This window comes from Homo sapiens, chromosome 12 (genome assembly GCF_000001405.40).
Source record: "Homo sapiens chromosome 12, GRCh38.p14 Primary Assembly".
NCBI lineage: Eukaryota > Metazoa > Chordata > Mammalia > Primates > Hominidae > Homo > Homo sapiens.
Genome location: NC_000012.12, coordinates 89,786,377 through 89,813,215, shown reverse-complemented (window position 1 = coordinate 89,813,215; position 26,839 = coordinate 89,786,377). Strand labels below are relative to the sequence as shown.

The 26,839-nt window shown below is 39.3% G+C and overlaps 1 long non-coding RNA gene across 1 annotated transcript in view; it reads right to left on the bottom strand.

Annotated features, from left to right (window-relative positions):
- The window catches only part of LOC107984543 (uncharacterized), a 104,864-nt gene that overhangs the window by 3,885 nt on the left and 74,140 nt on the right, over positions 1–26,839 (bottom strand). Inside the window, exons 3-4 of the long non-coding RNA XR_007063399.1 lie at positions 12,214–12,255; positions 8,406–8,474 (exon numbers count right to left, since the gene is read on the bottom strand). This is a non-coding gene — a long non-coding RNA (uncharacterized LOC107984543). The remainder of the gene's footprint in view (positions 1–8,405; positions 8,475–12,213; positions 12,256–26,839) is intronic.

The following is a 26,839-nucleotide window of genomic DNA, read 5'->3' as shown; positions in this document are numbered from 1 at the left end:
AAAAGTAGCTAACTAGACAATAAACATACTTCGACAATAAGGCTGAGATTCACTGCAGAATGCATGTCTAACATTGAACACGCATTTCTCCAACTTGTCTTCAATTTTACCTTCTATTACCAGATTAATATCACAAAGTATATATTGTGAGAGATGACCTTTGATATCATGTAATCCAGCATTTTTCAGCCAGTAATTTATGGACTCTTGGTTTCACAAAGTTTTTCTGACAATGTAGCAGTTATGATGGTTTCAGATCCAAATAACAATAACCCCAACTCAAGCTAGCTTAAAAAATCAAGGCCAGGCACGGTGGCTCACACCTATAATCCCAGGACTTTGGGAGGCCAAGGCGGGCAGATTACCTGAGGTCAGGAGTTCGAGACCAGCCTGGCCAACATGGTGAAACCCCATCTTTACTAAAAATACAAAAATTAGCCAGGCGTGGTGGCACACGCCTGTAATCCCAGCTACTTGGGAGGCTGAGGTAGGAGAATTGCTTGAGCACAGGAGGCAGAGGTTGCAGCGAGCCAAGATCATGCCACTGTACTCCAGCCTGGCCGACAGAACGAGACTCTGTCTCAAAAAATAAATAAATAAATAAATAAATAGAAGGGAGGAGCCAAGATGGCCGAATAGGAGCAGCTCAGGTCTACAGCTCCCAGCGTGAGCAACACAGAAGACGGGTGATTTCTGCATTTCCATCTGAGGTACCGGGTTCATCTCACTAGGGAGTGCCAGACAGTGGGCGCAGGTCAGTGGGTGCATGCACCGTGTGCGAGCCAAAGCAGGGCGAGGCATTGCCTCACTCCGGAAGCACAAGGAGTCAGGGAGTTCCCTTTCCGAGTCAAAGAAAGGGGTGACGGACGGCACCTGGAAAATCGGGTGGCTCCCACCCGAATACTGAGCTTTTCCTATGGGCTTAAAAAACGGCGCACCACGAGATTATATCCTGCACCTGGCTCGGAGGGTCCTATGCCCACGGAGTCTCGCTGATTGCTAGCACAGCAGTCCGAGATCAAACTGCAAGGTGGAAGCGAGGCTGGGGGAGGGGCGCCCACCATTGCCCAGGGGTGCTTAGGTAAACAAAGCAGCCGGGAAGCTGGAACTGGGTGGAGCCCACCACAGCTCAAGGAGGTCTGCCTGCCTCTCTAGGCTCCACCTCTGGGGACAGGGCACAGACAAACAAAAAGACAGCAGTAACCTCTGCAGACTTAAATGTCCCTGTCTGATAGCTTTGAAGAGAGCAGTGGTTCTCCCAGCACGCAGCTGGAGATCTGAGAAAGGGCAGACTGCCTCCTCAAGTGGGTACCTGACCCCTGACCCCTGAGCAGCCTAACTGGGAGGCACCCCCCAGCAGGGGCACACTGACACCTCACACGGCAGGGTACTCCAACAGACCTGCAGCTGAGGGTCCTGTCTGTTAGAAGGAAAACTAACAAACAGAAAGGACACCCACACCAAAAACCCATCTGTACATCACCATCATCAAAGACCAAAAGTAGATAAAACCACAAAGATGGGGAAAAAACAGAACAGAAAAACTGGAAACTAAAAAGCAGAGCACCTCTCCTCCTCCAAAGGAACGCAGTTCCTCACCAGCAACAGAACAAAGCTGGACGGAGAATGACTTTGACGAGCTGAGAGAAGAAGGCTTCAGACGATCAAATTACTCTGAGCTACAGGAGGACATTCAAACCAAAGGCAAAGAAGTTGGAAACTTGAAAAAAATTTAGAAGAATGTATAACTAGAATAACCAATACAGAGAAGTGCTTAAAGGAGCTGATGGAGCTGAAAACCAAGGCTCAAGAACTACGTGAAGAATGCAGAAGCCTCAGGAGCCGATGTGATCAACTGGAAGAAAGGGTATCAGCAATGGAAGATGAAATGAATGAAATGAAGCGAGAAGGGAAGTTTAGAGAAAAAAGAATAAAAAGAAACGAGCAAAGCCTCCAAGAAATATGGGACTATGTGAAAAGACCAAATCTACATCTGATTGGTGTACCTGAAAGTGACGGGGAGAATGGAACCAAGTTGGAAAACACTCTGCAGGATATTATCCAGGAGAACTTCCCCAATCTAGCAAGGCAGGCCAACGTTCAGATTCAGGAAATACAGAGAATGCCACAAAGATACTCCTCGAGAAGAGCAACTCCAAGACACATAATTGTCAGATTCACCAAAGTTGAAATGAAGGAAAAAATGTTAAGGGCAGCCAGAGAGAAAGGTCAGGTTACCCTCAAAGGGAAGCCCATCAGACTAACAGCGGGTCTCTCAGCAGAAACCCTACAAGCCAGAAGAGAGTGGGGGCCAATATTCAACATTCTTAAAGAAAAGAATTTTCAACCCAGAATTTCATATCCAGCCAAACTAAGCTTCATAAGTGCAGGAGAAATAAAATACTTTACAGACAAGCAAATGCTGAGAGATTTTGTCACCACCAGGCCCGCCCTAAAAGAGCTCCTGAAGGAAGCACTAAACATGGAAAGGAACAACCGGTACCAGCCGCTGCAAAATCATGCCAAAATGTAAAGACCATCGAGACTAGGAAGAAACTGCATCAACTAATGAGCAAAATAACCAGCTAACATCACGATGACAGGATCAAATTCACACATAACAATATTAACTTTAAATGTAAATGGACTAAATGCTCCAATTAAAAGACACAGACTGGAAAATTGGATAAAGAGTCAAGACCCACCAGTGTGCTGTATTCAGGAAACCCATCTCACGTGCAGAGACACACATAGGCTCAAAATAAAAGGATGGAGGAAGATCTACCAAGCAAATGGAAAACAAAAAAAGGCAGGGGTTGCAATCCTAGTCTCTGATAAAACAGACTTTAAACCAACAAAGATCAAAAGAGACAAAGAAGGCCATTACATAATGGTAAAGGGATCAATTCAACAAGAAGAGCTAACTATCCTAAACATATATGCACCCAATACAGGAGCACCAAGATTCATAAAGCAAGTCCTCAGTGACCTACAAAGAGACTTAGACTCCCACACATTAATAATGGGAGACTTTAACACCCCACTGTCAACATTAGACAGATCAATGAGACAGAAAGTCAACAAGGATACCCAGGAATTGAACTCAGCTCTGCACCAAGCGGACCTAACAGACATCTACAGAACTCTCCACCCCAAATCAACAGAATATACATTTTTTTCAGCACCACACCACACCTATTCCAAAATTGATCACATACTTGGAAGTAAAGCTCTCCTCAGCAAATGTAAAAGAACACAAATTATAACAAATTATCTCTCAGACCACAGTGCAATCAAACTAGAACTCAGGATTAAGAATCTCACTCAAAACCACTCAACTACATGGAAACTGAACAACCTGCTCCTGAACGACTACTGGGTACATAACGAAATGAAGGCAGCAATAAAGATGTTCTTTGAAACCAACGAGAACAAAGACACAACATACCAGAATCTCTGGGATGCATTCAAAGCAGTGTGTAGAGGGAAATTTATAGCACTAAATGCCCACAAGAGAAAGCAGGAAAGATCCAGAATTAACACCCTAACATCACAATTAAAAGAACTAGAAAAGCAAGAGCAACCACATTCAAAAGCTAGCAGAAGGCAAGAAATAACTAAAATCAGAGCAGAACTGAAGGAAATAGAGACACAAAAAACCCTTCAAAAAATTAATGAATCCAGGAGCTGGTTTTTTGAAAGGATCAACGAAATAGACTGCTAGCAAGACTAATAAAGAAAAAAAGAGAGAAGAATCAAATAGACCCAATAAAAAATGATAAAGGGGATATCATCACCGATCCCACAGAAATACAAACTACCATCAGAGAATACTACAAACACCTCTACGCAAATAAACTAGAAAATCTAGAAGAAATGGATAAATTCCTCGACACATACACCCTCCCAAGACTAAACTAGGAAGAAGTTGAATCTCTGAATAGACCAATAACAGGATCTGAAATTGTGGCAATAATCAATAGCTTACCAACCAAAAAGAGTCCAGGACCAGATGGATTCACAGCCAAATTCAACCAGAGGTACAAGGAGGAACTGGTACCATTCCTTCTGAAACTATTCCAATCAATAGAATAAGAGGGAATCCTCCCTAACTCATTTTATGAGGCCAGCATCATTCTGATACCAAAGCCGGGCAGAGACACAACCAAAAAAGAGAATTTTAGACCAATATCCTTGATGAACATTGATGCAAAAATCCTCAATAAAATACTGGCAAAACGAATCCAGCAGCATATCAAAAAGCTTATCCACCATGATCAAGTGGGCTTCATTCCTGGGATGCAAGGCTGGTTCAATATACGCAAATCAATAAATGTAATCCAGCATATAAACAGAGCCAAAGACAATAACCACATGATTATCTCAATAGATGCAGAAAAGGCCTTTGACAAAATTCAACAACCCTTCATGCTAAAAACTCTCAAAAAATTAGGTATTGATGGGACGTATTTCAAAATAATAAGAGCTATCTATGACAAACCCACAGCCAATATCATACTGAATGGGCAAAAACTGGAAGCATTCCCTTTGAAAACTGGCACAAGACAGGGATGCCCTCTCTCACCACTCCTATTCAACATAGTGTTGGAAGTTCTGGCCAGGGCAATTAGGCAGGAGAAGGAAATAAAGGGTATTCAATTAGGAAAAGAGGAAGTCAAATTGTCCCTGTTTGCAGATGACATGATTGTATATCTAGAAAACCCCATTGTCTCAGCCCAAAATCTCCTTCAGCTGATAAGCAACTTCAGCAAAGTCTCAGGATACAAAATCAATGTACAAAAATCACAAGCATTCTTATACACCAACAACAGACAAACAGAGCCAAATCATGAGTGAACTCCCATTCACAATTGCTTCAAAGAGAATAAAATACCTAGGAATCCAACTTACAAGGGATGTGAAGGACCTCTTCAAGGAGAACTACAATCCACTGCTCAAGGAAATAAAATAGGATACAAACAAATGGAAGAACATTCCATGCTCATGGGTAGGAAGAATCAATATCGTGAAAATGGCCATACTGCCCAAGGTAATTTATAGATTCAATGCCATCCCCATCAAGCTACCAATGACTTTCTTCACAGAATTGGAAAAAACTACTTTAAAGTTCATATGGAACCAAAAAAGAGCCCGCATCGCCAAGTCAATCCTAAGCCAAAAGTACAAAGCTGGAGGCATCACTCTACCTGACTTCAAACTATACTACAAGGCTAAAGTAACCAAAACAGCATGGTACTGGTACCAAAACAGAGATACAGATACATGGAACAGAACAGAGCCCTCAGAAACAATGCCGCATATCTACAACTATCTGATCTTTGACAAACCTGAGAAAAACAAGCAATGGGGAAAGGATTCCCTATTTAATAAATGGTGCTGGGAAAACTGGCTGGCCATATGTAGAAAGCTGAAACTGGATCCCTTCCTTACACCTTATACAAAAATTAATTCAAGATGGATTAAAGACTTAAACGTTAGACCTAAAACCATAAAAACCCTAGAAGAAAACCTAGGCATTACCATTCAGGACATAGGCATGGGCAAGGACTTAATGTCTAAAACACCAAAAGCAATGGCAACAAAAGCCAAAATTGACAAATGGGATCTAATTAAACTAAAGAGCTTCTGCACAGCAAAAGAAACTACCATCAGAGTGAACAGGCAACCTATAAAATGGGAGAAAATTTTCGCAACCTACTCATCTGACACAGGGCTAATATCCAGAATCTACAATGAACTCCAACAAATTTACAAGAAAAAAACAAACAACCCCATCAAAAAGTGGACGAAGGACGTGAACAGACACTACTCAAAAGAAGACATTTATGCAGCCAAAAAACACACGAAAAAATGTTCATCATCACTGGCCATCAGAGAAATGCAAATCAAAACCACAATGAGATACCATCTCACACCAGTTAGAATGGCAATCATTAAAAAGTCAGGAAACAACAGGTGCTGGAGAGGATGTGGAGAAATAGGAACACTTTTACACTGTTGGTGGGACTGTAAACTAGTTCAACCATTGGGGAAGTCAGTGTGGCGATTCCTCAGGGATCTAGAACTGGAAATACCATTTGACCCAGCCATCCCATTACTGGGTATATACCCAAAGGACTATAAATCATGCTGCTATAAACACACATGCACACGTATGTTTATTGCGGCATTATTCACAACAGCAAAGACTTGGAACCAACCCAAATGTCCAACAATGATAGACTGGATTTAAAAAATGTGGCACATATACACCATGGAATACTATGCAGCCATAAAAAATGATGAGTTCATGTCCTTTGTAGGGACATGGATGAAATTGGAAATCATCATTCTCAGTAAACTATCGCAAGAACAAAAAACCAAACACCGCATATTCTCACTCATAGTTGGGAACTGAACAATGAGATCACATGGACACAGGAAGGGGAACATCACACTCTGGGGACTGTTGTGGGGTGGGGGGAGGGGGGAGGGATAGCATTGGGAGATATACCTAATGCTAGATGACGAGTTAGTGGGTGCAGTGCACCAGCATGGCACATGTATACATATGTAACTAACCTGCACAATGTGCACATGTACCCTAAAACTTAAAGTATAATAATAAAAAGAAAAGAAAAAAAATAATAAAAAAAATAAAATAAATAAACAAAATACATTTGGGGCTCATTTAAGGCACACAAGTAATGACAGCTTCAGGTGCAGTTTGATTCTATGGGCCCCAACTCCATTTCTCTGTACTTCTATTGTATTTACTCTCCTTCTTGTTTCAACTTTGACTTTAGACTTGACACCTCTAATTTTAACAAAATGCCGCAGCAATGTTAGGCTCATATCTGTAAGCTACTGCCTTAGTTCATTTAGTGTTGCTATAACAGAATACCTGAGACTGGACAACTTATAACAAACAGAAATTTATTTTTCATGGTTCTGGAGGCTGGAAAGTTCATGATAAAAGGGCCAGCATCTGATAAGGGCTTTATTGCTGCATCATCTTATGGCAGAAGGTGAGGGACAGGGAGTGCAAGAGACAGCAAGAGGCAAAACTCACAGTCTTGAGCCTTTTATCATTGGCCTCTATCCATTCATGAGGATAGAGCCCTCATAACCCAAATATCTCCCATTAGGCCCTGCCTCGCAACACTGTTGCATTGGGGATTAAGCTTCCAACACATGCTTTATGAGGAATACATTCAAACCATTGCATGCATACCACCCAGAGGAAAAAAAAAATGTGTCTTTTCACATAAATTCTGAGGAAAAAACAAGAATTCATCTTCCCCAGAAGTCCCCAGAAAATATAGACTTGTTCATCTTTGGCCCAGGTTGGTCCAGTGGGACCTAATCCTTGAGGTCAGGTGAAAAATCTTGGCTTCAGTTCATCAGGGCCCAACCATGGTGCTGGAGATGAAGTTGTTTTCCCCTGAGACAAATGGAAAACTGGGGTAATGCTGCCATGGGAAAGTGCAATGAATGTCAAGAAGCCTAAAAACTATACTACCGCAGTGGGAGGGGGCATGTTAAACTAATAAGTAAAATAATAGTTTTCTTTAAAATGGTTTCTTTAAAATAGTTTTTCTTTAAATAAGAAGCTTCTTATAGTCTCCAAGAAGTTTATCAATGGAACATTCATAGCACCCAATGGTAATGAGATAGATATGCTTCAGTCAATTTATTACCCAGGTTAATACTATTAATCAAATGTTGTACGTATTCTTCAATTACTTATTCTAATTTTTATTCTTAGTCATACATTATATAACTTAACACCTGTAATGAATGAATGACTGGGGACAAAAAGGCATACCTGTTAGCACGTGTTATTCATGTTCACACAGCACCTTCTGATGATAGCGCCATAATTTCCTTGTGGGAAAATACCAATACCTCTTCCATAATGTGTACAATAAAAGAGATTGTCAATCAAGGCACTCCTCTCTCCCATAGCCAAGCAGTGAGCATGTAACCCAGAATAGGGCAATCCAATCCTCTTCCCTTCCTAAGCAGGAAAGGGAATTGGATTGCCCTATTCTGGGTTACTGCTGCCCCTGGCCAATCCTTATTCTTGCCCAAGAAAGTGAATTGGCCAAGGATAGGAAAAAAGTCACAGATGCTGATTCATCTCTGTGATGACACTCTGATAGAACTATTAATTAGCTACTGCTCACAAGATCTTAAGAGTTCCCAGATTTTTACTCCTTTACAAACCTGGTCCTTGAGATTTCTTTGATGGTGTGAGTCACCCCAGAATAGTCTAGTCAATTCTCTTTTTACCTCTTTTTTAAGAATAGAATTCTATTATTTCTGTCTTAGCCCATTTACTGCCACTGTAACAGAACACTGAAGACTGAGTAATTTATAAAGAAAAGAAATATATTTCTCACAGTTCTGAAGACCAGGAAGTCCAACAGCATGGCTCTGGCATCTTGTGAGGGCCTTTATGTTGTGTTATCCTGTGGCAAAAGGGCAAGCAAACGCACAAGACAGAAAGAGAAATGGGGGCCAAACTTCACCGTTTTATCCATAGCCCACTCCCTCAATAACGGCTTTAATCCATTAATGGATTAATGAAGGACTTTGTCCTCACGACCTACCTTTTAAAGGCCTCATCACCCAATACTGTTACACTGGCAACTAAATTTCATCATGAGTTTTGAGGAAGAATTCAAATCTTAGCAGTTTGCAATGTATAATTTTGTTAAGGAGTATAAAAATGATAATTCTGAAAATTTTCTTCAAGATAATCAACACTGAATTTATAAATTGCATGCATCCGATCAAAAATTTTAGCTGGCACATCAATGTACTTCTAGCGTTTTAAAAACCATTGTTGAAAAAGAAAATACGATAACATTTTATTCAATTTGACTCATAATTTGTTATGAATAAAGACTTTATAAACCCTCAATATGTTATTTGTGGATAAGTGCTTAGAAATAGCAGCTTGAAAATTTCTCTCTTACCCTACCATTTAGAAACAAAAGACAAAAATTACAAAAATAAGCTAGCTTTTTATAAAGCAAAATGTAAGAATTCTAAGTATAGGTACAAAAGCACTTTTTTGTCAAGGTTTGATGCATGAAATGAAGTTAAATTTTAGTGTATGCTGCAATATCTATTTAGTCCCAAATGAAACATGATGTACTATTATTTTTAACTGATTTATCAGTAAATCATGTTTTTTCCCTGCTTATATTTCACCTCCGAGGGCTATCTGTATCACCTTTTGTCTTACAATAAAATTCAGGAAAATTAAACATTTTCTAAAGCTTAAAGGTACATTTAAATGTATAGTGACTATTGCACAATGCATATAAAAACAATATGAAGAAAAGGAATGTAAATGTATACCATAATCTTTAAAGACATACTGATCTGAAAAGTTTCCTTGCCTTTAAAATCACTTCTTTATCATATATCACACAAATAATTTTTTTTAACTTCTAAGGGACTTTGATAGATTATATATTTCATTGAGATGTGTTTAAGTTAAAAAAAAAAAAAGCTGGAAAATGCTGATCTATTTACTTGTTTGACAGAAGCCAGAGACATTACACAGAACACAGTGAAATACAAGCAGGGTTCCTTAGAACTCTCAACATCCATCAGACATTCTTGCTCCCTGGTACCACAAATGCACTGCAGTCTTTGCAGTGCCAGTTAAAATAGCAATCCCCAAAGCATACATTTCTATATAATTACATGCCCATTGCCTATTGTGCCTTCAAATGAGTGTTGCATCAAACCTAAGTATTTTGAGGTTAAGCCCAGAGCAGTCACTTGGGATCTATCACTATAGATTGATTTTGGACATTCTTGATATTGAATGATATTGCTAAATTAAGGTTGCATAGATCTAGGTTTACAGAGGTTGAATTATTTTTTTTTTAGACAGGGTCTCTCACTGTTGCCCAGACTGGAGTGCAGTGGCATGTTCTTGGCCCACTGCAACCTCCTCCTCCCGGGCTCAAGTAATTCTCCCACTTTGGCCTCCCAAGTAGATGGGACTACAAGCATGCGTCACCATGCCCTGCTAATTTTTGTATTTTTTTGTAGAGACGGGGTTTTACCATGTTGTCCAAGCTGGTCTTAAACTCCTAAGCTCAAGTGATCCACCCACCTGGGCCTCTCAAAGTCCTGGGATTGCAAGCATGAGCCACCGTGCCTGGCCGAAAGGTTGAATTTTTAACAGTCAAAAAAGAAAAAGCAAACCAACTTGTCTCCACTTTTCTACCAGAAGTTTGCTGTCACCCTAAAGCAAAGGGCCAAGAATTGCCAGATACTGATTTTTGTGTTCCTTTGGTTGTTTCTGTTGCCCTAAGTAGTCACTTTTGAACATTTCTGCTATCTCCAGCTGTCTCTGATGGAAGTGATATGTAAGCTTCTGATAAGATTTCATAATGTTGAAAGTCTGTAAGTAACAAAGAAGTGTTCAAAGTCCCTGGACAAGAAACATTGCTCTTTTTGTTAAATGGGCTGCCTGGATAACCAGGAGAGGGATGGAATTATATATTCAGAAAAATGTTTCAATATTAGAGCTTTAAAATTCTTGGTAAAAATTTTATGTTAGTTTGAACTAGGGCTTTACCTGACTTCCATGACATAATGAATGTCATATGGTTGAAAAATTTCATTCTAACAGTTTCCATGTCCTTTTAAGTAACCCAAGACTCCCAAGATCTGCTGCTATAAAAATTAAATAAACAAACAAGCAAATAAATGAAAAAAGAGTTTTGATCACCATAGTATCTGCCAACGTGCCCCACCCAATTGATTGGAATTTCTGATGTGTGCTATTTCTGAAATGATGGCCAAAAGACACATTTTTCTTGGATGGTCTGCAGCAAGTCCTAGAATCCAAGTGAGTTTCCCCAGCCCATATCCTACCATGAAATTTGGAATTCAGGCCTAATGTTCACCTCTACCTCCTCCCCTCTATGAGTGCTGTCTTTCATTTAAATTCCAGAGCAGTATAACCATAATTTTTCATTCCCTCAGTGTTCAGCCATTGTGCTTTTACAAACATAACAGCATACAGTCCATGAGAAACTGCCAACCTTCCCCTTTCATGATCTATCAATGTTTTACCTGACAGTTAAGTCCTTGTGGCATCCTACAAAAATCTGCTTAACTGATAATATCCCTGAACTGTTGTATTAATATCACCATGTCTCAACATGCAGAGTTCTTGCTGGAGGTGCCAATCATATATCTTTTGCTTCTGTACTGGAAGCATAAATTCAAAATCTTTATGAAACTTCCTTAGAATCAGATTTAATCCAGGTTAGTGTCTGACTGTACTGTATGATAAGCACTGTATGGTAAGTAAAATTTCCTAAGATTTTTCCTGCTAAATAGTCTCTGTGTTTCTTTGTTTCCTAAGAACCCCCAAAGAGCCATAACCACTAAAAAAATGTGGGCAGAAGGGCCAGTCACCCTAATATTTGCCACCCTTAGGGTATTTATTCTTCAACATCTATGTCTTGAGCATAAAATTTATGTATTTAGTACTAGGAGCCACCTTAGTTAGGGGATGCCTATGTTTATTTTTTCAACTCTTAAACTCATCTCTGTGATCTTTGAGGTCAGGGCTGTTATTGGAGAAAGCAATAGGGCAAAATAAAAACTAAAAATTTAAACTATTTATAAATACCGTGGAATGTCTGGTAGGCTAAGTGGAGGACAGGTAATACTTATGCTACACCAGATATGAAACCACATTTGTGGAAGAAAAAAGGGGAAGCTTTCAGAGAGCAAAAATGAACAAGAATACAGGAAAACAGAGCTAATATATGCCTTAGATCTCTACAATAGCAAAGTTAGTATCTTTACATTAGCAGGCACGTGAAATTACAAAATAAATAGTTGACACAGGCTTTATTATTTCTTTATTGTTTATTCTTTATTTCAGACTTCTATTTGTCCAGTTTCCACTTTTTTCTTCCTCCCTTTCTTCCTTTCCTTCTCTCTTTATTCTTTTTATTCTTCCTTCTTTTAATAATATAGGATTAGATAATAATGTATTGACTTTAAAACTCTAGGTCTATTCATGTTTTCCTTCTTTGCATTATAGATACCAAAATGCACTGCCTTTCTGATCACTAAATAGATTTTTTTTAAAATGTGGAAACACAGACCATAGGACATTTAGTGTGTGTGTGTGTGTGTGTGTGTGTGTGTGTGTATACTTACAGTCTTTCAAGAAGTTCAAAGTAAATGAGTTGTTTCATTCACCTAAAAGAAATGGAAAGAATAACCCATAGAAAAATTTCAACAAATATATTTTTAAATTATAATAAACAAGCACAATGTGGAATGTAATTTTCGTCCAAAGTTTTCAGGATAATTAATTTGTAAATTTGTTGCATTGTGCACATTTTAACCAACATGATTACCAAACAGATGAAATTCTTTACCTAGTCATTTTGGATTTACAAAGAGAAAAGCAATATGTGCCTGGTGTACAATGACTAATACATAGCTCTGGATCCCCTATGTGCACAGCCCACTTAGCTGATAGGCTGGCTGGCTGGCTGGCTGATTGAAGGTCTATCTCTCTCAGACAGACAGTGTAGCACAGTGGAAAGAGTGCTGGACTAGGAGCCAGAAGATCAGATATCAACTCCACAGTATCCATGGGAAAATCTCTCAGCCTTTATAGCTCTCCAATTTGTCATCTGTGAAATAGAATGAAACTATCTCCTGGCCTGCACTGCTGGATTATTAGGAGAATCAGTGGAGACAATGCATGTGAAATCATTTTGTAAGTGCAAAGCTTTCATAGTATAATTTGACTTAAACAGTAACTGATATTTTCCTGCTTTAAAGCCACATTTTCGGCAACTAAGGCAATTAGTTATGTCAGTTCACTTGTATCCCAAAGCTAAATTTGACATAAAAGTATCAACTTCAAAGACCCAAATCATGTGTCCTGTCCTTAGGCCTGAAAACTATTTAATGTTTTCTAAAGCTGGGGTCAGTGATTTGGTACCTCAGGATGGTATCAGCAGCATGCTAATAATATTCAGCTTCAGTCCTGGACCAGTTTTCCTCTGACCTCAATATTGAAGAGTCTCAACTGTCATAAGTTAACAGCCTGGGAGGCTGGCTGATAAGAAAAATGAGGCAGGGTGAAAACACCTGGTGCTCAGCTACTTTAGGCAGGCTAAGTCAATGTTAGGAGTTCGGAGAGATTTTCAGCCAGGGTTCTCACTATCTTTACTTAAATTGATTTTAGCCTTAAGGTAAGCTATAAACCTACTTTAAGGAAGACAAGGTAGACTATCAAGGTAGTCTCTTGATTCAATTATCAAAAGGGCCAACTATGTACCTAGTCCATGAATTAATACATTCTCACTTTGTCACCTAGGTATTCAATCTGAGCAGAAGGTATTTCTCAGAAGTCCATAGCATCACTGTATGTTTTCCCCATCTTTGGGGAATAAAGGGGTACTGCTCTAATAAAACATGACTATTAGAAAGGAACCTGCCTGAACATTAGCATCGTGACAGCATTCTCATTGTCAGTGGTTAAATTGTCAGCTTTCAATTTTCAGGTATCAAAGTGAGAAGAAATGTTTCTACAAATGACCTGATTACTTTTCCCTGCCCCTGCTACTTCACAGCCACATTATATCTGGAAGCTAAGATATGGGCACAGGACTTAGGGTGTTTCCACTAACAGGTTGGTTTGCACGGCTAGATAAAGATGTCTGGGGAAGTCCAAATCTCATTTGCCATGAGGCTCCTTTGCATTTTTCCACTTGCCTTCTATATTGTATAACACAACAAAGTTAAATAGCGTAGATTCCCAGGTCAAGGGCTAGCAATAAACTAGACCAAGTCAACAAGAAATCTAGCAGTAGAGAAGCAGAAATTTTAATAAAACTCAGGGAGCAGGGGCAAGAAATCCTAGTATTTAATTAGTTAGACCTCTTTCAGGCTCCTGATATCTGTGCAGTTATCCTCATTTTATTATTATGAGTTTGGTCATGTAAAACAACAGCAGACAAAATGTTATACTGCCTCTCCCAACAATTTTTAAAAATGTATCTGTAAGCAGAATTATTACATTATTTTATCACAGCTATTTTTACAAAACAGGATAAAATTATTAGCAAATTAAGCCCTAGTAAAGTTGTAAACTGTTCAAGCACTTTCCTAATCAATAAATCAGAGCTCAACCAATCATTTCTAGGGTCTCTCCAAACACTAATATTCCATGTACTTCAAATCGCAAAGGGATACTGACAGCTCAAATTAACTGGGACGAAATTAAAACTTAACTTTATCAAGTTATTTATAGCTTTTCTCCTGAATGTTTTCTCTTCTTTTAATCTTTAATAACTGCGTATATAGCAAATAAGGGTCAAATAGACAACAACAAAAGAATAACCAATAAGCAAATAAACAGCTAGCCCTCAATATTAAAACACTGGCTATAAGCAGAAATTCACACAATTGTTTATGATCTCTACTGAAAATTCCTCCTCTATCTGTCTTTACTATAAGTGCATTGGGCCTTAGAATATGCCAAATGAGATCCTAGATGTTGCTTGTCTTCTAACTAATAAATTTATTTAATATCTTTGACTAAGTAGTTTCGATGGTCCCTTTAATTCACAGAATAGGAAAAAGGTGGTCATTGACAATTCTGTCCTAGTACACGGTGGTACTAGCTGGCCTCAATCCTGACATAGAAGAAATATCCTCAAAGCTGAAAATTCACTTAGAGTCTATTCCAGGTCAGTCCTTGGCATATTTTCTGAGAAGATCTATTAATGCCAACCTCAACAGAAATAAACACAAGCTCATTAGGAAATGACCAAGACAATCAGTCATTTAACATAAGCCAAATAGCAAAGCCTGTCAAATCATGCATATACCAACTCAAAACTAAGTAGAAATAGCAATTCTAAAACATCATAATAGGTAATATCCCACCAAAAATTACAGAATTCAAACATTACCAACAAGTAGAGTTAATATGCTACAAAAATAACATACTAGAAAACTCCAAATGTAATGATCTCATAAGGCAAGCTTACTCAAAAAAGGCTTCAAAGTAACATATTGCAATTTAGAGCAATTCACTATGAATTATCCTTTGAATCTGACACAACTTAAGATATTCACAAAGTAACATTGCTGAACTATGTGAAAATTTTATTATTTTAAAAACAATGATAAGCTGAAAATATTAAAACATGACTAGTAATCTATTAGCTCAATTTTTAAAACACTTTCAAATATCTCCATAGATGGAGAGATTTACAGGGTAATCAAGTAGGTACGGGATATTCTTGACAGTAAATGCTAGCAGAATTAAGCTTATTATACTAATGTTTCAATATCTAAACCAACTGCAAATTTAAATTAGCATACTAAATTGTACTTTCATATTAAAAAGCATGTCTTTGGTGGTATATGTATGAATATTTTAGACACATCCTTACATCCATAGTAGCATGGGATTAGAAGACTTTTCTGGGGTCTGTCCTGATATCACAAGGGACAGGTCTAAACCAAAAGTCTGTCTCACGTAGCTTACAGATAGGGAGACTTGTGTTTTCACTTGCGCAACCATTGCTTCTGCACAAGGCATGCTGATACTTTAACAGGGTAGGTGATGAGGGGAATGAGTCTAGGACTGGGCAGGGACAAAGCTGGGAGAAACTGACCCAGGTATAGGGCTGGTGCCCAAAGAAGTAGTCTACAATCAAATGACCACTGCAAAATAGCACAGTGATCCTCAAGCTTGGTTGCAGCTGTCATCAGTATCAGATCCACTGAGTCTAGCAAAATGTTTCAGACGCTAGATGATCCACCAAGGCAGAAAGGGCTGTCCATAGAAGCTGCTTCATTCAGGGTCACAGAAGGAAGCATTCATCACAGTCAGGTTAGGATAATTGAAGAAGGTTTGATAAAAGGATTATTTTTAACAATGTAAGACTAGACCACAACAAAGAATGCAATACCCCAGTGCTCAGCTAGGCTGTAATCTACCCTAGGCCAGAAAGGGTGAAGAGTGGGAACAGTTCCAAGAACATCCTCTGGAAGCAGAGGACCACCTGGAGAGGAGCTCTGACCTTCAGTGGAAAGAAGTGAGCAGCTCAAGGTAACCCCAAAGGGAGGAAGCTAGTGGTATAAATATTCCTATCTCACTCAGTCACTCCCTTGAATCTCCTGCCAGCATTCCCCATTAGCCAAACCCAGCTAGAAGCCAGAAGGCAAGGGATGATAAGTTCACATGGGTCAGTATGGAGAGGGGAAGGGAAAACAAAGAAGAACTGGGTGGGGAGGGGTGTGGAAGGGCAAACTGAAGAAAGATGGCCCACCTGGGAGAACCATTCTATCCCAAACATGATTTCAGAAAATAAATGGGGATCTGAGGGTGAGGGTCCAACATTCTGGAGAAGGGTACCAGCAGAGTGAAGCGATATTTTAGAGCCTTACAGCCCTACTGAAAAAAAAAAAAAAATACTGGGTCAGTGAAAGACTCCATCCCAAATGGAGATGAGAATGCAAAGCAGAAAACCAAGGCAGAATTCAGCTGGCACAAGCTATGCCAGTGATGTGGGAGTAAAGGAAAATCCCCAGGCATGCTGGAGGACTAGCTGCAGAGCAGAACAGCTCATCTTAGATCCAGTTCCCTGATGCCTTTGGCATCCAGTGTTCTTTCTGCCTGGGTCAGGTCTGACACAAGAAGTAGTCAGGGTTGAGACTGTATTGAAGACCAGTGAGCAGTATCTGCAACTGAGAGAAAATAGGAAAGAAAGTTCCAAACAGTGCAGTAGAAGACTGCGCGGTAAGGCTCTTAGTGGGAAGTCTGAATATTTGCCCCTGCCCAAATCTCATGTTGAATCGTAATCCCCAATGATGGAGACAGAGCCTGGTAGAAGGTGTTTGGATCATGGGGGCAGATCACTCATAGCTTGGTGCTGTCTTCATGAGGGTGAGTTCTCACAAGATCTGGCTGTTTAAAAGTGTGGCACCTCATGCTCTCTCTCTCTCTCTCTTTCTTGCTCCTGCTTTCACCATGTGATGTGCCTGCTCCCCCTTGGGCTTCTACCATGATTGTAAGCCCCCTGAGACTTTTCCAGAAGCAGATGAATGGTATGCTTCCTGTACAGCCTGCAGAACCATAAGCCAACTAAACCTCTTTTCTTATAAATGGAGATATACCTAATGCTAAATGACGAGTTAATGGGTGCAGCACACCAACATGGCACATGTATACATATGTAACAAACCTGCACGTTGTGCACATGTACCCTAAAACTTAAAGTATAATAATAATAAAATTTTAAAAATCAATCAATAAATAAATAAAAATAAAATAAATTACCCAGTCTCAGGTATTTCTTTATAGCAACAGAGGGACAGCCCAATACAACATTCAAATTGGGAAACGTGAAGAGAGTTTACAAAGGTTTGGGAAGAATGTAAAGAGTGTAGGGAAACTACAAGGGATGTTTTTTCAATCCTTAATCTTGAAGCAAACAAAGGGTGGAGGCAGTTACAAAACCCAGAGCTTCAGCCTGAGAGATGGTCTGCCTGACCTTCCATTGAGGAACAGAGCATGTCCTAGAGGAGGGTAAACTATGGGGAGGAAACTAAGTGGAAATAGCCCTGGACCTCATTCTTCACCCTTTTCAGATCTCCTGCAGGACTGACTCCCCCTTGACTAACCCAACCAGACACCAGAGGACCAGACTGACATAGTCCACCCCAGTGAACCTAGTAAGCCCAAAGCAGAATGGAGAAGGGAAGGAAGGAAATGCAGTGGGACTAACCATCAATATACAGCACAGAGGGATCACATAATTTTGGCGAAAAATGAGGAGGGCCTCCTCTCTAGATACTTACTAATTACAAAAGAGAAAGTAGTAATTTTACAATATAGAAACTAGCAGACACCGACCGGCCTGGTGCAGTGGCTCATGTCCGTAATCCCAGCACATTGGGAAGCTGAGGCAGGCAGATCACTTGAGCTCAGGAGTTCAAGACCAGCCTGGCCAACATGGTGAAACCCCATCTCTACTAAAAATACAAAAATTAGCCGGGTGTGGTGGCATGTGCCTGTAGTCCCAGCTACTCAGAAGGCTGAGGCAGGATAATTGCTTGAACCTGGGAGGTGGAGGCTGTAGTGAGCTGAGATCATACCACTACACTCTAGCCTGGGTGACAGCAAGACTCCATCTCAAAAACAAAACAAAACAAAACTAGCAGACACCACCTCGACTAGGTGATCAAGGTTGACAGCTCAGTAATAGGGCAAATGGCCATGATGTGCTTCCCCATATGAAGCACTAAGAAGGACACAACATCACATCCCCAATAGTCTTGCCAATAATACATACCTGAATCTAATCAAGAATAATCATTGGACAAACCCAAATTGAAGGACAGTCTACAAAACAATTGGCCTTTCCGCTTCAAAAATGTCAGTATCATGAAAGACAAAGAAAGACTGGTGAAAGTAGGCTAAAGAAGTATGACCAGAGAATGCAAGGCATGGCATGGGATTTTCTTCTGCCTCAAGGACATTACATGACAAACTGGACTCCTCAATAAGATCTATAAATTAGGTGATAGTATCGTGTCAATGTTAATTTCACAATGGATTTTGATTATTGTGTTATTGTTATGGAATTAAAAAGTCCTTGTTTTAAAAAATAAACAATGAGGTATTTGGGGGTACAAAGACACTATGACTGTTTCTCAAATAATTCAGGAAAATATACATAAAAAAGAAAAATATGTAGATGCAATGTTAATATTTGGAGAATTTGGATGAAGGGCATCTTGGAGTTATTTTACCATTTTTGCAACTTTTCTTCATGTATGAAATTATGTCAAAAAAATAAAAATTAGAATGATAAGAGCTTGAACTGGAGCAACTAGCAACAGGACTATAGAGAAAGGGCTGTATATAAGAAATATGTGAGAGGTAAAATCATTAATATTTAAGTGATGAATGATATGTGAAGGGTCTACAATGACTCTAAGACTTATACCATGCAATGCAGCTGTCATTGTGGTCACACTTAGCATGAAATGCTAAATTATCTGAGTGATATTTTAATTGTATCCTGGCTAAAGAATCCAAATACCTACAAGGCTTTCTCTAGCATTGACATTGGTGTGACACAGTCAGTTAAATATTAGTGGATCCAAAACAGAATGCTAAATTTGTACCTTATCAATAGTGATGAGAGTTTAATTCTTTCCCCCAGGAAAAGCAGGAAATCGTGGATTTACCCAGCCTGAGAAGAAAGAATGCCCCCGACAAATCAGTCTCTCTTTTCCAGTCTTCCCTGAGGTGTAGGGTTAGTTAGGATCTTTCAAAGCAGCATAAGGACATTTAGGATACAAAAATAACTCAAACCTATGAGATAGTGATGATCTGGAACGGATAGGTGAAGAGACAACATTCCAAATCTTCTGCCCTCATGTAAAACACTCTTTTTTCCAGCACAGACTTGAAAAATCATGTCTCATAGGCTTCTATCAATCACTAATAGTTCTTATATAAGAAATTAGCACCATTTTCCTGATCCTCCTATGTGTCTTGTCCCAGGGTCCAAATCCTTGGTCTGTTCAACAAATATGTACTAAACACGAACCATTAGTATCAGCCTGATAACCAGTCTTATATTGATGGGTAGGTATAATCCACACTTCTCTACAGAAAACAGTGGCTCAAGGGCCTTAAGATAGCACTTTTGCCATATTTCTTATAATAGTGTAGGTTTTGTGGGACTAATTGTAAACACGGATTTAAATGTTTAACACATATGAGTTAAATCTGTTTCTTTCACTCACAGCCCTAGTGAGATGTTGATTGTAACTAGAAAACATAAATATGGGTGGTTCCTATTGAACAACTAGCAACTAGTGCCCAGGGAACTTAGCTGCACCCACCACCTGGGCTGAGGGAAAAAGGACAGTGAAATGAAATAGCAACTGGTTGTTAATTGATATCTTTTTGAGAGGCTCCAAGAAGACATCTTTACCCATAAATGTGGTCATGCTACCATTAGAAATCTCCTTTGAAATAACTACACCTACTAAATGCTCCATTAAAATGCAAACATCCTCAGCTATGTCTATAATAGACCAAGGTAAATTAGATCATTAAACATCATGAAGACAAAGACTTTGGTGTCTGGCAATGGAAGATTTTGAAATGGAGGAGAGGGCAGAGAATAGAGAAGTATAGAGTCTTGGAAAAACGAAAATCTGCCTACTTAACAGCTTTGGCTAAGGCCAGCCCTGGAACTAAGGTCATGAGTGTTTGCATGTGTTTTCTTTAACTTTGTCCAGTCAAGAAATTTTATTCCAAAGTCACAGCCTCTATCCACAAACTCAGACAAACATATTGTATCAGAAAGAGAGTTGATGAACAAGGATGCAGATACTCAAAATTTTTACAGAAATTCTTAAAGCGTATGTTCCACTGACATCATCCTTTAAATGTGCGAAATAGCATCAAAATCATTAAGTAATCCAGAATATTTGCTTACCTTCCTTATTTGCTTACCTTCCTGTGACCTGCCATTTCTAGCATCCTCTCCCTGCCAAAAACAGTTTTATTCTGACTACATGAAAGAACATCACTGAAGGCTGTAGCTGTTTTGGAAGCATATATCCAAGCATGGAGCTGAGCGTCTTCAATTAATTTTCAAAGAATATTTTTGTCCATGGAGATATGTTTGAGATGTCACGACTCAAAGCCTTGTACCTTAAGACTCGTTTTCAAACTGAGCATACTTCTTCAATTCCTCCCATCAAACAAAATGCTCACACAGTAGACAGCTCACTGGGGCCTGTGTCTGATCACAGTCCACAGTTCAGCAGGAGAGATCTTCTAAAGCCAATATCTAAAGGTAAACTTTGCATATTTTCATGAACACTACTGGATAATAGCTTACATTTAATCACTTCAAATGCTGCATTTCTTTCTCTGATAGTTTCTATTTTAATTTTCATCTGCAGTAATCAAAAAAGAGGAAAGAACGCAAACTTATAACTTTCTCCTAGCACTTTGTCATTGACTGGAGCTACATTTCTAAACTTTTCCCACACTGTTATCCTTAAGACAGATAGAGATATAAATCTTATGAAATCCAACAAGGTCAAAGTTTTTGTCAGGTAGCATATATGTAAAATGACCTAATGCATTCTATCTCATTTCATACAGATGAAATTATATGGCAAATGTTGAATATCTTGCACATAGTAGATGCTCAGTAAATAGTAGTTATTATTTTCTAAGAGTGGCATTTTAAAGGTTGGCAGTTCAGAAGCAGAATAGAACATGATGATACTGAGAGCATCAATGATAACAATTAGCCTGCATATAGTATTTTACAATGGACTGCACACTTTATACAAATTATCACACAACTCTGTGAGATAGAGTTGTTCTATGAGTTTTCTATTGCTACTAAACAAATGACCATAGTGGATTAAATAACAAATTTATTTAATTCTTATTTCTGTAAATTAGAAATCCAAGAGTTTCACCAGGCTAAAGCCATAGTGTCAACAGGGATATTTTTCTGTCCAGAGGCCCTAGGGGAGAATCTGTTTCCCAGCTCATTCAGGTTATTGGTAGAATTCAGTTCCTTGCAGTTGTAGGACAAAGGTCTTCATTTTCCTGCTGGCTGTCAGCTGAGAGCCATTGCAGCATCTAGTGGCTGCAACATTCTTTGGCTCGTGGCTTCATCCCCCGATCAAAGCCAGAACATTAGGAGGAATCTCTCTCATGCTTCAAATCTCTCCTACTTCATCTGTCCTAGCATATTTCTGATTCCATCTAGGAAAAATTCTCCACCTTTAAGGGCTCATGTAATCAGATTGGGCCCACTTAATCAAGCATAATCTTTCCATCTCAAGATGCATATTTTTAATCACATCTACAGAAGTGCTTTTATTGTGTAAAGTAATATTCACTGGTTCCAGCGATTAGAATATTGGCATCTTCTGGTGAGGAGAGTATTATTTTGTCTTCCACAGTTACCATTATTCACATTTACAGAGGAGAAAAATGAAGATCAAAGAGGATAAGATATTTGTAAAAGACATGTAAAGAATGGACCAAAATTGTTTTGCTGTAAGCTCAAGTCAATGTTCTCCTCATAATAGATTATCTTTTTTCTGAAAGGTAACCCAGCATTTACTCTCTTGCATCTTTTCCCCTCTTTCCCACCCACACTTCCATTAGAAACATTTAAGGCTGACATATTTGAAGAATTATTTCCAAAGCTTCCTTGGAAAAGCCAAAGTTTAGTTGCATTTCTGCTGGGGTTTTTTTGTATTTCTTCTGAAGCTTACCATGTTGAGAATATTATTTGCCCGCAATTAGACACTTTCAGCTAAAGCTGCAAGAGAAAATGTATTACCTGATGGGCTGAGCGCTAATGGAAATTTATACCATGGCAAATATCAGTTATCTCACTAAACAATTTTTCTCTAAAGATGTGCTTAGCAATTTGATACTAATATGATTAATACTTATTTAAGACAAGACCCGTCACTTTGTATTTTCCAGAAAATATAGTATTTTTAGCCTTCTTTCTTGCCAATGGAATTTAAAAGCAAAATTTACATTTATTTTGGTGTGATTTCAGGCAACCAGTAAGTGTTTAGTAAGTCCTTTAACAAATACAAAATGTCATTCATCTATTCAAGGGAATGTTATTAAATGGCAAATTGTGGCACACAGGCTGTACTCTGAAAATAATAATATTCCTGAAATTTAAGGGGACTGCTCAGATTAAAAGAAAGGTGGACAATGAGTTCAGATTGTTCATGTACAGAGTTCATAGAAGGCTCTAAAAGCCTGGCCATGGCCAAGCATATACAATAATAACAATAAAATAAACGTTTTTACTTTAAAAATCCTGAAAAATAAATGTTATCAGTTTCTGCATTTTTAAATAAATTACACAAATATTATCTTCCAATCAGGGAAGAAATTCAGGTCCCTCTTTTCAGTTTCTGTATACAAGTGGAGTTTAAGATGAAGGAAAAAGGAAGTAGTTTGATTTCACTTCCTCCTTTTGCCTTCTTCATCTATTCTACTTCACTTCCAGTTTTACTCCCTTGACTAACTGCTTCCCTCCCCTGTGTTCTTCCACTGACAGCAGAGAAAGTGACATGGGCACCCTGGAAACGTCTTTTTGTCTTTCATAATCTGGCCTGTGGCTACATTCTAGTCATATTTCTTGCCAGATTTCTAAAACTTCCCTAAGCTCTAGTCATACAAAACATTCATTATTCCCCCAAGAACTCACATTTTTTTAAATATGCTATTGTTGTAACTAGGAATGTTCTATACCTAGCTTCATCTACATGTAAGTGGTTAAAACCAAAATATTAAATAACCCCTGGAATTTTTCTTTACATAAAATATTTATGGCACAATATTTAATCTAATAAACTAAAGAAAATTGCGCATGTTTTTCATAACAATGATTTCAGGTTACTAAATAATGAAAACAAAAAATAAAAGTAATGATTTGATGCTTTGTGGCATGCAAAAGACAACTCTCTAAAACCAAGAAATAATTTGTTGATTGGAAAATAAACTGAACACATAATTATGGAACTAGGAAAAACAAAGGGTTTTTTCAAGATTTCTCCCAGTTATCTGTTTGTTTTTTTTTTGTTTTTTTTTTTTTTTGAGACAGGGTCTCACTCTGTCACCCAGGCTGGAGTGCAGTGGTGTGATCATGGCTCACTGCAACCTCGACCTCCCAGGCTCAGGTGATCCTCCCACCTCAGCCTCCCAAGTAACTGGGACCACAAGGTGTGTACCACCATGCTTGTCTAATTTTTATAATTATTTTCAGAAACAGAGTCTCCCGATGTTGCCCAGACTGATCTTTAACTCTTAGGCTCAAGTGATCCTCCTTCTTTGGCCTCCCAAAGTACCAGGATTACAGGTGTGAGCCACCATGTTCGGCCCCAGTTACCTTTTTCACAGACAAAGAAAAAAAAGCACAAAAAAATTAAGTTGCCTACTCAGGGTCATAAAAGAAATCAGTGGCAGCTTCCATCCAGTGCTGTTTCTACTGAATCACATTCCTTTCTTTTTCAAAAGACTAGAGAGCTTAGAATCATAGTATTCCAAGGTAGCTATTACTTATTCAATGCCTTCCTTATTAGGAAGCTGCTGTCACCCAAATCAGGCCAATATTTTCAGGGTAGAAACATCCAAATATCTCTATGCTAAAATCCTCCTCTGAGAGTCCAGATGGGGAAAGTCTTGAGAGCAATTCCATCTTTTAATATAAAAGTGTCTAATAGTATATTTTGATCCTCTATATTTGTTGTAAATTCACCTATCATATTTCCTGCTGCCAAAATAACAAAAAAAAAAAGATTTATGTTCATAGGTTACTTCCTTCAAAGCCTTCAAAAGAGGTAGGCTGCAATGATGATCAACATAACTATTAAGTATCCTATAACACACCCTAGAGGGAAGCAATATGAAAACAAGACCTGGGATCAGGGGGTTTTGCCTAGAAGTAAAAGAAGTTAAAATGGCTGTTACTGTTAACAGTGAATATACTATTACTTTTACTCACTTATTAGCAACTACAGTTATCTTTTTAAAAAATTACATAATTCAGCCCATGCATAAAGACCTTGTAATATACACATAGTTGACATGTAAATATATATGTATCTCGATGTGCTAGAATTAAGCCCAAGACTACAGGTCACTTGCTTTAGGTTCTGTCTTAAGTCAGTTGCCCTGGGAAAGAGATGCTGAGATGAAGATTTGTGTGCAGGAAAAATGCTGGGAGTGTGATATTTCTTGATGATGATTACACATGAGAACAATACATAGGAGGGAGACAGGGAAACAACATTAGTCAAAATGAGAAGTTGATGTTTTATGTAGTTACAACAAAGGCTTCAGCAGATCCCATGGGAAGCTCTGGGGCTGGGCTGGCCCTTCAGAGTTATGCCCATGAAGGCAAAGGGGCCGCACCTTTTCACCTACATCTGCCAGCCACTGGATGTGACCTACATCAGGGGAAGAGGTGCACTCTTGAATGACATTGCTATGGTTTGAATATTTATCCCCTCTAAAACTTATGTTGAAATGTAATCCATGATGTGGCAGTGTTGAGAGGTGGAGACTTTAAGAGGTGATTGGGTCATAATGGCTCTACCCTTATGAACAGATTAATGGGTTATCATGGGAGTGAGCCTGGTGACTTTATACAAAGAGGAAGAGAAACACGAGTAGCATGCTCAGCCCTCTCACTATGTGATGCCCTGCACCACTTTGGGACTCTACAGAGAGTCCCCTCCAGCAACAAGGCCCTCATTAGATGTGGCCCCTCGACCTTGGACTTCTCAACTTCCATAAGAAATAAATTCCTTTTCTTTATAAATTACCCAGTTTCAGTATTCTGTTATAAGCAGCAGAAAATGGACTCATACAGACAGATTTCTTTGGTCAAGGGGAATTATCATATAGGAACAAACAGCAGCCAATACTCCTGTAGTAGTCCATTTTCACAGTGCTATAAAGAAATACTCGAGACTGGGTAATTTATAAAGGAAAGAGGTTTAATTGACTCCCAGTTCCACATGGCTGGGGAGGCCTCACACTTACAATCATGGCAGAAGGGGAAACAGGCAACTTCTTCACAAGGTGGCAGGAGATAGAGTGAGCAAAGGGGGTAGGGTCCCTTATGAAACCATCAGATCTTGTGAGAACCCATTCAATATCACAAGAACAGCATGGGGGAAACCATCCCCATGATTCAATCACCTCCCATCAGGTCTTTCCCTCAACACCTGGGGATTACAATTCCAGATGAGAGTTGGGTGGGGACACAAAGCCTAACCATATAATTCTGCCCCAACCCCTCCCAAATCTCATTTCTTTCACATTTCTAAACCAATCATGCCTTCCTAACAGTCCCCCAAAGTCTTAATTCATTCCAGCATTAACCCAAAAGTCCAAGTCCAAAGTCTCATCTGAGACAAGGCAAGTCCCTTCCACCTAGGAGCCTATAAAGTTAAAAGCAAGTTAGTTACTTCCAAGATACAACGAGGGTACAGGCATTAGGTAAATTCTCCCATTCCAAAAGGGAGAAATTGGCCAAAACAAAGGGGCTACAAGCTTCACGCAAGTCTGGAATCCAACAGGGTAATTATTAACTTAAAGCTCCAAAATGATCTCCTTTGACTCCATGTGTCACATCCAGGTCATGCTGACATAAAACGTGAGCATGAGCAGCTCTGCCCCTGTGGCTTTGCAGGGTACACCTCCCCTCTTGGCTGCTTTCACAGGCTAGCATTAAGTATCTGCAGCTTTTCCAGGTGGATGGTGCAAGCTGCCAATGGATCTACCATTCTGGGGCCTGGAGGACAATGACCATTCTGGGATCAGTCTGGAGGACAATGGCCCTCCTCTCACAGATCCACTAGGCAGTACCCCAGTGAGGACTCTGCGTGGGGGCTCCAACCCCACATTGCCCTTCTGCATTGCCCTAGTAGGAGTTCTCCATGAGGGCTCCACCCCTGCAGCAGATGTCTGCTTGGAAACATCCAAGCATTTTCATACATTCTCTGAAATCTACATGGAGGCTCCAAACCTCGATTATTAACTTCTGTGCACCTGCAGGTCCAACACCACATGGAAGCTGCCAAGGCTTGGGGCTTGCAGCCTCTGAAGCAACAGCCCAAGTTGTACCTTGGCCCCTTCTAGCCATGGCTGGAGGTGAAGCACCTGGGACACAGGGTACCAAGTTCTGAGCCTGCACAGAGCAGGGAGGCCTTGGGA